The sequence below is a fragment of the Homo sapiens genome, chromosome 8 (assembly GCF_000001405.40).
Source record: "Homo sapiens chromosome 8, GRCh38.p14 Primary Assembly".
NCBI classification, from domain to species: domain Eukaryota; kingdom Metazoa; phylum Chordata; class Mammalia; order Primates; family Hominidae; genus Homo; species Homo sapiens.
In genome coordinates this window covers 83,420,451-83,436,102 of record NC_000008.11, presented here as the reverse complement: position 1 = coordinate 83,436,102, position 15,652 = coordinate 83,420,451, and positions in this window count along the sequence as shown.

Here is a 15,652-nt window from a genome sequence, read left to right as displayed (position 1 = left end):
GGCCTAAAACAAATAAAGCCATACCTCAGGCTATTGCTTTCACTTGCACCTCCTTCTTTTGTTTCTTTATTCATCATTGTCTCACTGTATAGTCTCCCCTGCTGGTTGATTTCTCTTTGTATAAAATACAATTAATGAAGACCATGGGATAAATTTTACCATTTCTAATCATGTCTTCCTGATAATCATATCAAAACTCCTAGGACCTTCTCTTCAAGAATTTCTTCATTTAAAATGTGCTCTGACTTCAAAATTGTACCTTTTTTTCCTCTACCTCAAATATTGAGTAGGTGCTGCTCATATTTTCTTTATTTGTATCTATGAATGGAAACCGCTGGTGCCATTAACATGGCAGCAAAAAGAATACAAGAGAACTTTCCACATGATAAATGTCTAGTACATATACTCAATTGAATGAAAAATTTCCAGGCATATCAGTCCCTGAGTTCAAAACCTAGTTTGATTTCTGAGAAAATAATAATTTTTTTTTTAATTATTATTATACTTTAAGTTTTAGGGTACATGTGCACAATGTGCAGGTTAGTTATATATGTATACATGTGCCATGCTGGTGTGCTGCACCCATTAACTCGTCATTTAGCATTAGGTATATCTCCTAATGCTATCCCTCCCCCCTCCCCCCACCCCACAACAGTCCCCAGAGTGTGATGTTCCCCTTCCTGTGTCCATGTGTTCTCATTGTTCAATTCCCATCTATGAGTGAGAACATGCGGTGTTTGGTTTTTTGTCCTTACGATAGTTTACTGAGAATGATGGTTTCCAATTTCATCGATGTCCCTACAAAGGACATGAACTCATCATTTTTTATGGCTGTGTAGTATTCCACGGTGTATATGCGCCACATTTTCTTAATCCAGTCTATCATTGTTGGACATTTAGGTTGGTTCCAAGTCTTTGCTATTGTGAATAGTGCCGCAATAAACATACGTGTGCATGTGTCTTTATAGCAGCATGATTTATAGTCCTTTGGGTATATACCCAGTAATGGGATGGCTGGGTCAAATGGTATTTCTAGTTCTAGATCCCTGAGGAATCGCCACACTGACTTAATATTCTTAATAAATATGATAGTTAACATTTAATGAGTCCATAGTTACAATATATCAAGAAATATTCACATTGTACTATTGAAGGAATTTAGGTACTGTAAAGAAGTCACATTGACAGTAAAACTGAATCAGAATTGGAATCCAGGTATTATGATGACAAAATCATTGCTCTTTACCACCTTTTAAAGTCTTCCATTAAGAAAATATTACAGAAATATTTCAGGTTGTAGGTTGTATTTACCCACACAATCCATTTTGGAAGAAAAGGCATATTTAACACTCAACTGATTAAACTATTTTTTAAGTGCTTTGTATATAGATATAGCTTTAATCTTAACTTATACCACTTATATGTATAGTCTTTTGAAAAAAATAGAAGTAAAATTAAATTATGTATTTAAGAGACAATGTTACAAATTAGAATAGCCTATTAATCAGTTATCATTTTCTTTCTAACACATTCATTCATCTATCTTTCTTACCTTTATTGAAAGGTCTATATTTGATAAAATATTAAGTAATTACATATTTAAACTATTAAAATAATTGTTAAAATTATGCAAACATTTATTTCTCAAATTTATTTTTGGGTAAGTGTTGCTTTTAATAACATGCCTTATTCTTTGATATTTAGATCAACATACAGATTATATTTCACTTCTTATTTTCAGCTATAATCTTAAATTATATTAAATAATTCCTCCTTTTTATGGCTATTTCTTCTCAATTTTTAGATTGCATTCCTGTCTCTTCTGTCACTTACATCTCATCTTTTATTGCTAGTTAAAAAATAACTCATTTTCTTAATCAGTTAACACCCATTCCTACATGCTTTCTCTTTTATTAATGACAACTGTGCAATGTAATTCTGATCATCCCTGTTATTTTAAAGCGGATGTAACTTCTAGGAGCTGTTTATCTCACTGAGCTAAACACATAATTATACAATATATAAGTAAAGTCAGGTGTGGTAGAAAAATCTTACATTTTTATATAATTCTTCAATACACAAAATAAGCCTGAGTAAGAAGTATACAGAAAGAGGTAATCCAACATTCTGAGAGATTCTTTAGATTTTGAAAGGGTCAGCTGGCAAGTGCAAAGGATAGTAATAAAAGTACATCATGGCCTTTTGCCTCAGGAAATGTACAGACAGAATGCCTCAGATGGGAGACTATATATTTTGCAATAGGGCTCATAAAGAAACACAGCGTATTAGTGCCAGTGAGATGTGGACTTAGGTATAGAAAGAAGACAGGATAGCAGAGACAAAGGTTTAACCACAATTATAAGGCAAATACAGCAAGATCGATAACTTGTGACAGAACAATTTACTTTCTTAAATTTGGCTGCTTGTGAAGGGAAATAGAAGCTAAGTGAGAGTTTCCTATGTGGGAGGTGCTTAGAAACAGGTAAAGAGTACAGAAATTAAGGAATTCGAAAATTGTGTATTTAGGTCATATAACTGAAGAAAGCAGTATTTTGAATTCTTAAATTAGAAATTGAGTATTTAGGTTATTCTTCAAAACACAGTGTTGCGATCCTTACAGAGTGAGAAATGCCTGGAAAATAGCTAACAAAAGATGAACAAAAGGATGTTTTACAAAACAAAACAAGAGCTAACATAATTGAACTCTTAGTATGTTTAAACAACACTTCCCACAAATGCAACCTTGTGAAAAACTGAGAAAATGGCAGCCATTTCTTTATTTTTATCTCTATCCACAATTTAATCAAAGTACAGTAGTAGCAAAGTTAATTAGAGGTAAATTATATTGACAATATCCTCTGTAAAACTATTAAAACATATATAAATGTAAACATATATATGTATTCATATATAATACTTATTTATTTTAATGTGATAATTTCAGCCAATAAAAGAGCAAGCCCTAAGGGTTGATGTAAAAACAAAACTATTAAGGAACAGATTTTAACAGAATAAAGACAATACTTTTTGAAAGAATTTTTAGTATTTCCTAATGTTTTTTCCTAATAAAATTTGATTCAAAGTTAGAATTTTTATTATATGTAACATTTAGCATGCTAACTACTCTGAAGTTAATTCCGATCACAAGATTTTTACAAAAATTCAATAGATTCCTGAGGGTTTCTTTACTTAAATACCCATATATATTTTAGGATTGTGTATTTACCTAATATGAGGTTTGATCACAGGATTAAAATATTTGTAAAACTACAGAAGTAACTATACAAGAGATGTTAATGACACAGCCAATGAAAGATCAAAGAGATTTAGAAACATTATTCTGGTTAAAAAAAAAAAAAAGGCAAAGTGTATTGCAAATCAAGGCAAAGCTTAGTTGTAATCACAGTTGAATTCCCAGACTCCAGGACCTTATCTAGTATTAACAGGGTACTCAATAAACATTTGTTAAATGAAAAAGAATAAAGAGAAGAAAATATGAATAACATAAATACCCAAGTACTGTAGGGTAAACCAAATACTTGATTGAATTACATAAAATTACTGATAGTTCCATTGATCTATAAATATAACAATTTTATACGGTTCAGGCTATAGAAGGAATATATGCAAATAATATGACTAAGCTTAAATTGAGAAACATATTAAATCTATGAATCCACCAGCAATGAACTTGAATTTTTCTCATTTTATGGATGACCTGAAGTTCATTGATATAGATATATGTCATAACAAATTATAAATTTCCTATTTTCTATATTTTTTCAGAAACTATCAAAAAGTCTATTGAAAATCAATTGATACTATATTCCTATCTATCCTGAAATCTGAATGTGGTTAGGGTTGCTGAACTGGACCTATTAATTGTTGTAGCTGAAAAACACAAGGGTATTGATTGTGTTTCCATAAAATACATAAATAAATAAAGGTTTCAGTACTCTATTATTATTAATAATAATTATTGTTAGAATAGCATGACTGGAACTAGTTCAATCAAAATGCACATGGGCAACTGTCAATGCACAAGGCAGTTTAATATCCTGTGGAACTGTGACATTACAACAGCATCCCACATTTGCTTCCAAAACCTGAAAGATGCTTTGGGTTAAATTACTAGATACTAACTCTGAATTTAAATTTATGCTTTGTATTTCTGAATTATGCTCTTTCACCTTCCCTAGCAGAAAGACAGAGAGTCATGTGCTTCAGTGAAACAAAAATTACCATAGAGAGTATGGCTAATAACAAAGCAGTTGCCCTGGACCAGAATAATAACTTTGTATGTTTATCACTAGATTTTAAACTTCCTCAATGAAAGGACTATGTATCACTAGGGTAAGGGAGAACTTCTTGAGAATTTTCTGGCATGTAGGTGATAATCATTAATAACTGGGAACACTTAGGACAGTAGAGACAGAGAATATTTTTAAGAGGTGCTTAATGGGAAGGCTTTGGTAAGAATTCCTAAACCTAAGTTGTTAGAGATTTTCTCAGTTAAAAACAAAACATAAGAAAAACAAACAAACAAAACTCTGTATATACTTAATATCAGTTAGGATTGATTTTGACTGAAAGAACAAAAAGGAAAACCACTTAACAGTAGCTTAAATAATAGAGGTGGAAGCAGGCAATCAACTGCTCATACAAACACTTTTTGTATTTTTGCTTATTTAATGTGTTGGTTGTCATACCTATACTCATGGTCATAAAGAGATTTCTTCATATCAGCCATCACATTTGCATTTCAGGCAGGAAGAAATGAAGAGTAAAAAAACACAGGGTAAAGTCCCAGCCCATAAGCTTGTTCCTCTGAATGAAGTACACAAAATACTTTCAAGAAACACTACAAATCAGAATTAGTTTATATTTCTTTAGCAATATATGAGTTACAAAGACTCTCTGGCCCAACACTGAGGAATGATAATAAAAGTAACAATGTAAGATTTGCTGAACCTTTTCTCTAATATTGAGAATGGGTTTTTGTTACATTAATCATATTCTGGATAATTATATCTTAAAATATTCAAAACACTAGCTGAGTTCTCATACTGTTGAACTTAAAATTCCTAATGTTCATAATAGCTTCATTACTATTTGACGGCAGAAGTATCACATATTTTCTCTGAGTCTTGCTCTCCCAACCAATAAAATGGAAAAGGGGCTTGTGAAGGCAAATAATTCCTTTTCTGTGTAGCTCACAGTTTTTTGTAATAATCAAATGAGTTTACAGATTTATAATTATAAATATCTATTAAAAACCAAAGCATTCAGAAATTCTTGGGAAATTATATATTAAATATGTGCATGATGCTAAGAGTTCAAAATATCTTTTGGCAATCATGTAGATGATTTATCTTGTGTTCATTATGCAGGAAATATCCTCTCATCAAACGTTTTGACGAAATCTTACGAGTTTTTTCTTATTTAATTCATTTCTTATATAAGATTATTTTTCAAGTATCACTTTGTTAAATCCAACTTCTTAATTAAACATCAATGCATACTATTAAAATAATTTGTCTAGGCTATCAGCCTTTTCTTCCTGATGTTTCAAGGCCAACTTTTGTAGCAAACATAATGGATATTGCCAGAAATAAACAGAAGCCCAACATGTATGAATCAACATTAATCACCATGGTTACTTATCTTTTTTTTTTTTTTTTTTTTTTTTTTTTTGAGACGGAGTCTCGCTCTGTCGCCCAGGCTGGAGTGCAGTGGCGCGATCTCGGCTCACTGCAAGCTCCGCCTCCCGGGTTCACGCCATTCTCCTGCCTCAGCCTCCCGAGTAGCTGGGACTACAGGCGCCCGCTACCACGCCCGGCTAATTTTTTGTATTTTTAGTAGAGACGGGGTTTCACCGTGTTACCCAGGATGGTCTCGATCTCCTGACCTCGTGATCCGCCCGCCTCGGCCTCCCAAGGTTACTTATCTTTTGAGGACAGTAGCAAGTATCATGTGAATATGCTGGAAACTCTTCTTGGAATATTTGTTTATTGACATTTTAATCCTTTTAAGTCTATTTTTGCATTTACTGTTAAAAATTTACCAACCTTCAAGATTCTAAGAAATTAGAGTAAAAAACTTTAAGAAAACAAACTCATGTTTTTTAACTGCAGTCCTTTTTAAAATTAGATTTCTCATGAAAGAATTAAGGTTTTGGGCAAATACAGGCTTTAGTTTCAACCCCTACTATTTTATGTTCTCTGAGTCTTACATGAGTTCCCCTTCAACTACAAACGAAATCCCTAATTAACATTTGTAAAAGAATATAATGTCAAGGGAAGTGACATATTTTCCATAAAAGCATAGTTCTTAATGATTTTTTGTTTCATGCATCTGTTTCAGAATCTGATAACAGTGATATTTTCTTCCTATAAATGTAAACACACTCATAACATTTAGGAAGTTATTTCAATTCAACAACCTCCAGAGCCCTAAAAACTTGTTATGCTCTTCCTAAGCGTCATGAATTCCTGAGGTTTTTTATTGTTCATACAGAACCACTCATAAACATAAGGTTTCACCTGAATAGATGACTTAGGATCAGTGCTGTACCTTCAAATAAATTTGCCTTAGCACCAAAGCATTCTGACAGCTTATTTGGAAACAGCTGAAATGAGTATGAATCCCTTCAGTTGATTTCTAGACATACATTCATTTATTCTTTCAAAGGATTTTAATCAAGTTTTTACTATGTGATAGAGAAACATGAAAAGTTTGCAAAAAATCAATTGGATATTACTTCAAGCCATTAAGTGGTGAAATAGAATTCAGGGATATTATGATAAAAGTTCCTAGGACCAAGTCCTCCTCATCAAAACCATCAGAAATCTAATGAGCTCCTGAAGACTGCTACACATATGATAGTGGCTAGAATATAAGTTGCAGTAGCTTTTGTTTCAAATAATAATTAAGTATACATAGGATATTAATCATGAGAGCATCTCAGCAGTAAGAAAGATGATGTCTTGAATTTCATATTTTGTTTAGAGTCTAATTGAAAATTGAAGTTAAATCAGAATTTCTAGACTTATTCATCACGAATGGGGAAAGTTTCTGCAAATATCTTATAAATGGAAGCAGTCAAGGTTCATGTAGCTCTATTATTAAACTCTTTATTTGGCAGAACATTTCAGCCAATTTCGATTCATGCTGTTAAATTTCTGTGCTTGTCTCCTACAAGCCTATACTTTGGTTTAAGAAACAACCCAATAATTTTCAACATTCCAGAATCATTTGGCGTAACACAGCAATTCTCCTATACTTGAACAAGTAAAATAAGCTTAATGGAGCAACCATTATTCAAGAACACTTACCAGGTATAGAGACAACATTCAAACATTTACATTAAATTAATAAAAAATGGACATCAATATTTTAAAACATAAGATTAAATTCTTAGGTATGATTATATATTTTTTAAATTACTAAAATGTGCAGGGGCATTTTCGAAATACTGTTAGTCTCATCAGACTGTTTATTCCAAAAAAACTCTTGCATAAGCTGTTCTCTATGCTTATGTTTGTTATGCACATTTTACTAAATTATGTTACTAGAATTTTTCTCTGAGTTTATTTCTTCATCTAAATTTGAGGTTCTTATTTTAGCGTTTACGTATATATTCAAAATTGACAAGATGTCTGTGATGGTTGCTATTAGGAATGTACAGAACACTGCATATTTCCAGTTGTAGTTAGCAATAAGTATTTTTTCAAAAGACAGCCAACATAACATACATTAATTATTCTCCTTTGCCTTGTGGGCCATAATTACAAAGAATCAAGTTGTTAAACCAATATTTTTCTCATAAGAAGAAAACTCATTGGCCTTCTCTCCCAGGTGCAATCAGTTACAACTTCACTTTGAATTCCATGGCTCCAATTACTAGCCAGTTATTCCTGCAGCTGTGAAAAATAATACCTGAGGCTAATTTCTATGTCTTAGGTGGAAGTGCACATTTTTCCCAAGGGGAAAGAATTGCAGAGTTGTAAAAAAAAAAAATTTGATGCTGATAGCTAACAATCAGGGCACTGGTTCTTGTAGAGAGACACACATGTAAAACTTTGTTAAAGAAATGAGCTTGTGCTGTTATCCTATCTCAAATAAACTATTTTAAATTTGGTCTGCACTTTTGTGAATTCCTGGTGAACCTTCCAGGATATGTTGATCTGGGGTGTGGAATCCTGAGTACCAACCAGTAGCTGCTATCTCTGTTCTGTTTGTATGCATGATAGTATATCTCTTTTAGAAATATTTTTATCAAATATTAATTGACATACTGTTTATAATGAAATAAATAAAAATTATAGAGAAATACCTATGATTAGAAAATACATCCGCGAAAAGAAACATCTCTTTTCCTAATTAGAAAAAGGAGCAAATGAATAGAATATCCAGTTGCTTTGATGTTTGCAATGTTTCATTTTGGTGCTGCATAATCTACCTTGATTATATTACTTTCAAGTTCTTTCATTGCTGTAGTTCAAGTTCCATGAAAAAATATAATTTCATTTTTTAGAATGCTAGTGAAGAAATGAAGTGACACTTATCCATTAGTTATCTAGTAAATAAAATCACCCTGATAATCCAGTTTGTTCTTTTTTATCATGATATTTAAAAAATCATAGCCTTTATTGATTTTTAAGCTCAATAAAGTTGAACTGCAAACCGGAGACCAGATGCACTGGGATCTCATAAAATACTGCTTAAGACTGTGATGACCTGACATGAAGGAAATTGACAATTTTTTTTCAATTTCTATTAAAAATGTGCCATTTTAACTTATACTCCAATCATATGCACTTTGAGGACATCAAAATTAAATAAAAAATTTAACAACATTCAAAATGATACCTTCTTATCAATGGAACACAACCTCTATCATTAACTCGAGAAAATGTTTAGGATTCAAATTTTGTTTTTAATTGTACTTTCCTTAGGAGTTTCTAGGCATTAAAATATAGAGACCATTTGGTTAGCAATTATTACTCACTATTAAGTCGAGTTTGTAACAAAAGTCAGTCCTTTATCTTCATTCTGCAAGTACTGCAAGAGAATAGCAAGCCGGCTCTATTCACTAGTATGGCTCACGTTGCGAGTGGCTGGTGGAATTGTAAGGTGCAATGGGAAGAGTGTTTTTAAATAACACTTTAGCCCATATCCCCACTTGAACACTTTCACTTTCTGCTTCTGTCTTTCTTGCTTTCAGTAGCTACTTCACACTCAGCACATTATGGTCTCTTATTTTCTATTTTAATGTAGCGTTCTCATTTTGAGACAAAACTGCTGCTGAAGGAGAAATCTAACTTTAATTGGCATTCATGATAGAACAAGTACAATATTAAGTGATTTGAAATAATATATCTCATTCTATTAGTTAAAAAACTCTATGCATTATGTAACACTGCCTCCATTTCACAAACGAGAAAATTGAGGCAAAAGTTCATTGCCATATACATTAAAACCAAAGAGGAAATAGGTATATTTGTCAGTTAAAAATAAAATTCTTGCTTTTTGTATGTAAACACCTGAGATCTGATGATTACTAGAATGATATTAATTTGCTATGGCTATGTAACAAACTACCACAAACTTTACATATTAAAACAGCATACATTTATTATTTCATAGTTTCCATCAATCCAAAGTCTGGACAATGCTTAGCAGGTCCCTCCATTTGAATAGGGTGAAATCAAGTTGTTAACTGACTCAAGTTCTTTTCTAGAGTACCAAGGCGCACATCATGTTGGTAGAATTGAGATACAGGCAGGTGTGGAACTGAGGTCCCCATTTTCTTTCTGGCTGTTGATTAGGGAATTTCAGCTTTTAAAGGCTGCCATGAGTTCCTTATCGCATGGTTCTCTCACAGTGCCTCTCACAACATGGCAGCTTACCTTGTCATGGCAGATGGAAAATCTTTTACTCCACTCTGTTAAAACAAAGTTTTATATACGACCTGATCAAGGAAGTGAAATCCATCACCTTTGATATCTTAAATTTGTATGGGCAAGTTTCACATTCAATGTACACTCAAGGAAAAGGGAATATGAGCTTGACTTATTGGAGTCATCTTAGAATTGTGCCTACCACACTTTGCCCTCTGGCCCCCAATACTTCCTGTCCCTGCCACATGCAAAATAGATTCACCCCATCTTATGGTCTCCAAAAGTCTTATCCTTATAGTATCAGCTCAAAATCCAACATCTCATCATTTAAATCTAAATCACATTATCTCATTATCTCAAATTCCAAAATCTTCTTATCTAAACATGACTCTTCTTAGTGTAATCCATTCAACAAGCCTGGGCACACTTGATTTCCATCTGCAGTCCTAAGAAATTAAAGAGACACTTTACCTATGCTTAACACACTCAATATATATTATGGGAACAGATATAGGTGAGACATAAGTAAGAAGTAGAGGCATTCTTCTTCAAACTGGGGTGAAATGAAAGTTAGGAATTGTTTGCCTATTGCAGTCCTGAAATCCAGCTGGGAAAATTCGAGGAGTCTCTATCAATTTTCAAGGCCCAAGAATAAGTTATCTATTGCTCTTGGTTCCTTCTTGTGGACTCTGGGTTCTCCTTTCTGAGTCATCCTTCTTTTTCATAAAAAGCAGCACATGTTTGCATCTAAGTAGATTTACCAGTCCACCTCGTGATATAAATGTAATTTTATTTAATTTTATACTAATTTTATTTTAATTTTATATACTTTGCCCTTTTAGCCCAGTGTTTCAGCTAAAATAAATTTCTCAACAACTTTGTAAGTATTGCCTGAATTTCACTGTGGTTAAAGTAGACAAAATCCATATCTACAAATCTTTTCAATATAATATATTTTCTTTGTCTCCTGCATAGATGGCTGAGGTAGAGCATCCTTAAACTTTCTAGAGGTCCTGTGATTTGGTTAAGATTTCAAGAATCTCTTAATCTATAGAAAATACCTTTAATATGATTGAATAATCAGACTTTTGGATCCTACTGACATTTTAGTAAAAATTATACATTTACACTGTTTGATTTCTCTTTGTCACGTTTTCAGCAGCGATTTTTAACTTTTAGTGGGTTTTCTTGCCATTTAGATAGGCTGAGAATTTTCAAAATTATCCAGTTCTGGTTGCCTTTTGTTCAACAGTTCTTTCTTCAATCTAACCATTACATTCTATCTACAATAAAAAGCAAGAAGAAATCAGATGGCACCTTCGACATTTTCCTTGGAATTTTTCTTAGCCATATATATGGATTCATTACTTAAAAGTTTTACTTTTTACACAATTACAAGACAAAATTTCGCTAAGATTTCTGCCACTACATAACAAGGATCCCTTTCTCCAATTTTCAGTAATATGCTTGCTTCTCACTTCCTTCTGAGCCCTCACCAGCAGCATCTTCCAAATTCAGATTTCTTTTAATAGTCAACCCAGGTCAATTCAGACATTATCTATTTGTGTCTAAATATTTCCAGCCTCCACTGATCACTCTGTTACAAAACCACTTAAATTTTTTTAGTTACTTATTACAGTAGTACTCCATTTCTAAATACAAAGTCTGTATCAGATAATTTCAAGCATATATAAGTATAATATATACATATACACACACACACATACATACACATATTGAATGTGAATGTTGAACCTGGAAGCTTGACTTGTCTTATCTCTGGGAGCTTGTGCTTATCTTTTAGTCAAGCGGTGTTGTGTGTGCAAAGCCAGCAAAGGTGATGTTGGCATCTGTTATATTTGTTGTGTATAGACTAAAGCACTGAAACCCAACTGGTGTACTTCATGGCCCAATTAAAGGTGGCCAAATCTAAGTTTCCAATAGTCCAAGGGTTTCCCAGATGGGGATGATAGAATTTCTGTTACTAATAGGTTTTAAATCACATAACCTGATTTGGGTGTATGCTGATAATAGGGTATCAGGTTGTTTGGCAATTAAAATATCTGTGGCTGAGACTGGAGCTCCAGCACTAGCCTATAGTCAGGCCCTACAATTTTGACAATCACTAGGGACCCTAAGCCTCAGTTTTCCATTTGGTGGTAACTATCAAGCCATCAATGTCTTTCGAATGCGGGGCTTGTATTAACAAAATTCAATGGCATGTGGGCCTCAGCATTTGCCGTGCTTGGCTGCAACAATGGCTTACTTGAAGAGTTTGGCCCTCTGATCACAAACCGATGAAAACACCCAAACCAATAACAAGACCAACAGTCAATAGAATGATGTGCAGCTGCACTTGACAGGCTTTTCTTGCCTAATAATGATTTTTTCTCTAGCATGTATTATTATCAAGGAGGGACTGTTTGGTTTTGTTACTCTGGGATGTGATGTTGACTCAATTATTATCTCCAAATGTGATTTTAATTTATTAACTGGAGTTTTTTATCTCCTTTCTTTGTATTCCATACTGTCTGTAAAAAATGGCCCTAGAGAACTAATTTTAATATCCTGGATATGATAAGAGGCACAGCCCAGATTAATTATCCATCACTTATAACTCAAATAATGAGGAAGCTTTTAAGGTGGTAGAAATTAAGGCTCAAATGAGTCCCATACTGGATGAGCAGGTGCCTGGCTCATTTATGGACAATCTGTGGTTAACAGGTCCCAGGAGAAGATATGCCCTTTATCTGGCCTCCAACCTTTATGGGATGGGGGCAGGATCAAAAACCTATAAAGATAAGGAGATATTAATAAATAACCTCATGTAATAATGAGTCTTTATAAACATTAACGTGAGCTATATCTCCATTTAAATATAGGACAGGAAAATGGGAAGGTTTTTAAGTTTGTGGGAAACAGTCAAGGGGCATTGAACTAAGAAAGATTATAGCTGAGACAAGGTAGAGACCCATTTAGGGGTTTATTTGTAATTTTGTCATCTAAATAGAAATGTTTTGAGGAACTCACTAGGCTGCTTAGGCAGCCTTAGCAGCTTAACCAGCTGCTTAGGACCTAGCAGGTAGATGAACATTTTACCAAATGTCTTTTTCAAGAGTTTCAACCTTGTATATTTTGAGTAATGAAATATGTGACTTGATTACCATCGGTAATGTCTGGAACTCTGAAGTGATAAGGAGTGTCCTGGTGAGACCTTGTTTTGTTACCTTAGTATACATAAGGATATGTGTGACCTTGATTTATATTTTGAGTATTTGCAAGGCAATGAGTTCCCAAAATTATCTACTCTAAAGGGAACAACTCTTAGGCAATGGCTCATTTTTATTTTCATTTTTTAGTCTGTGTATATAGAGCCATTTGCTATCCAGAGCAGCCAGTGGTAAAATGACTGAGGTTTGGCCTGATTCTTCAGTCCCTTCTGAAACTATCAGGAACATTCTGGTTAAAAGATGGAAAACAGCAACAGTAGTTATGATGGTGGTAATGAAATATGCAGTCTATAAACTCCCTTTGTTATTCACTCAGTGAATCCCAAAAGACTCCCCTGATACTCAAGGAGTCTTGGGGAGCTGTGACCTCCCTCAGAACCACAGCATCTGGCAAGAGATTGAGGCCACCACCTCCTGCAAGCAGAATACACCAGAGGACTAGGGTTTTACTATATTCTGTATCAAGGAGGCCTCAGTAACTGTGCAGAGCTTGTGGAGTGCTCCTTTTATGATTCAAATCATAATGGGAAGCTGGATATGAAGGGTCATAGACAGAGTCTTTGAAAACATATCTTTCCAGGAAAGCACAGTATAAGACCAATAATTTTTGCTCTAGTAGTGTATAGAATGAAGGTGAGATGGGGTTTCTTGCATTAGAAATCCATGGCAACTTGTTGTCATCATGTGTGGTCCAGAGACTCCAGGAGGCAGGAAAGGAGGTGGTGAAAGCCTCTAAAGTGAAGAAGTCTCTGAAGACACTAAAGGGAGTGCCTGACAATTTTAATTTGGACAGATTCTAGAGCCTTTTTAAAACAGGGTACCCCCATTTAAATAAGGCTGATTTGTAAGTAGCAGCATCAGTGAGATTAAGTAAAATCTGTAAATGAAGAATATCTTGCTTCATAATCCAGACCAAACTAAAAGATCTTAGGCTAGTATGCCCTTAAGGAGTATCTCAAATGGCTGTCCTTGGAGGAGGATCTCAACAAGGTTATACCAATGGTATACCATCATTGTTATACCATACCTGTACTCCTGGTGAAAGGAAAATGTAACCAAGATAGTAAATATGTACTGTGTCCTATTGAAGGTAAAGACAAACTGTGGCTGAGAGGCTGTTTTGGAAATAGGCACTGAATAGAACATATTAGCCCATTCTATAATAGCAAAATATTTACTAGTTGTTGATTAGGTGAAGTTAGTTATTATTGTAATAATTGGTAGCGGATATGGGGGACTTAATGGCTGTAACCACAACATTAAGGTGGTAGTAATCTACTATAAAGCACCATTTATTTTTTCCCGATTTTAAAACAGGTAAAGTCGGGCTATCAAATGAAGAAGCAATAGAGATAATTATCTATTTATTAATAATATCCTATATAATAACTTTTCACCTTTGAAGGCCCTGTTTTAACTTACATTGTGCCATATTCACTATTTTAACTGGGTGTCCATGAAGTCCCATTTTGTCAAGCAGTTTTGTAAAGTGCCAGAAACTTAATTTAATTCTAATTTATTCCTCCTTGTATTAGAGTATACATGTGTACTAAGGCATATTTTAGGACATTATTCAAGGCTATAAATTAAAGCATACCTATTTTTTCTCTGTTTTATATTTTGTTACTCTCCTTAGTTTACAGAGAGCACAATGTTTAAATTTAGTGGAATCCTCATGTATAACTGCAATTTGAGCCCCAGTGGAGATTCCTGTCAACTTAGAATGGAGTTATATCCCAATAAACCCATTGTAAGTTGAAAATATTGTAAGCAGAAAAAGTATTTAATACACTTGGCCTACCAAGCATCACAGCTTAGCCTAGCCAATGTTAAATGTTCTCAAAACACTTAAATTTGGGCAACATGAATTTAAAATTAAGGCTATTTTATGACAAAGTGTTAAATAATTTATTGAATACTGTACTGAAAGTGAAAAACAATGGTTCTTACAGGTGCTCAAAGTATGGTTTCTACCGAATGCATATTGCTTTCATACCATAGTAAAGTCAAAAAATTGTGAGTTCAACCATTGTAAGTTGGAGACTGTCTTATGAAGTCAGTGAAGCTTTGCTAATTGGTGCATTTTAGCAAATGGTAAAGTTAATTCACAACCTATGATTTACATGAACACAAGCCAATAAGTGCCATTTTAACCATTTTGTTCAATACATTTTAAGTAAATTTTGAATGTGTAATTGGGTTAAATTATGGACCTTGATTTCAATTTAATCACATATGATTAAATAATCATATATAATAATATATATGATTAATAGATAATAAATACTATATATTCTAATATATATGTTATTTTATTAATGTTGGAATATTATATATTATTATATGTATATTATATATAATTGTGTATATATTTATATTATATATAATTATGTATAATCATATATATATAATTGTGTTAAATATGTGTTATATATGTGTGTGTGTGATACACATAGATTTTATTTGATATTTTTCCTCCTGTATCCAGGGTTTTTTATTTTTCCCCTTTTTTACGAGTGG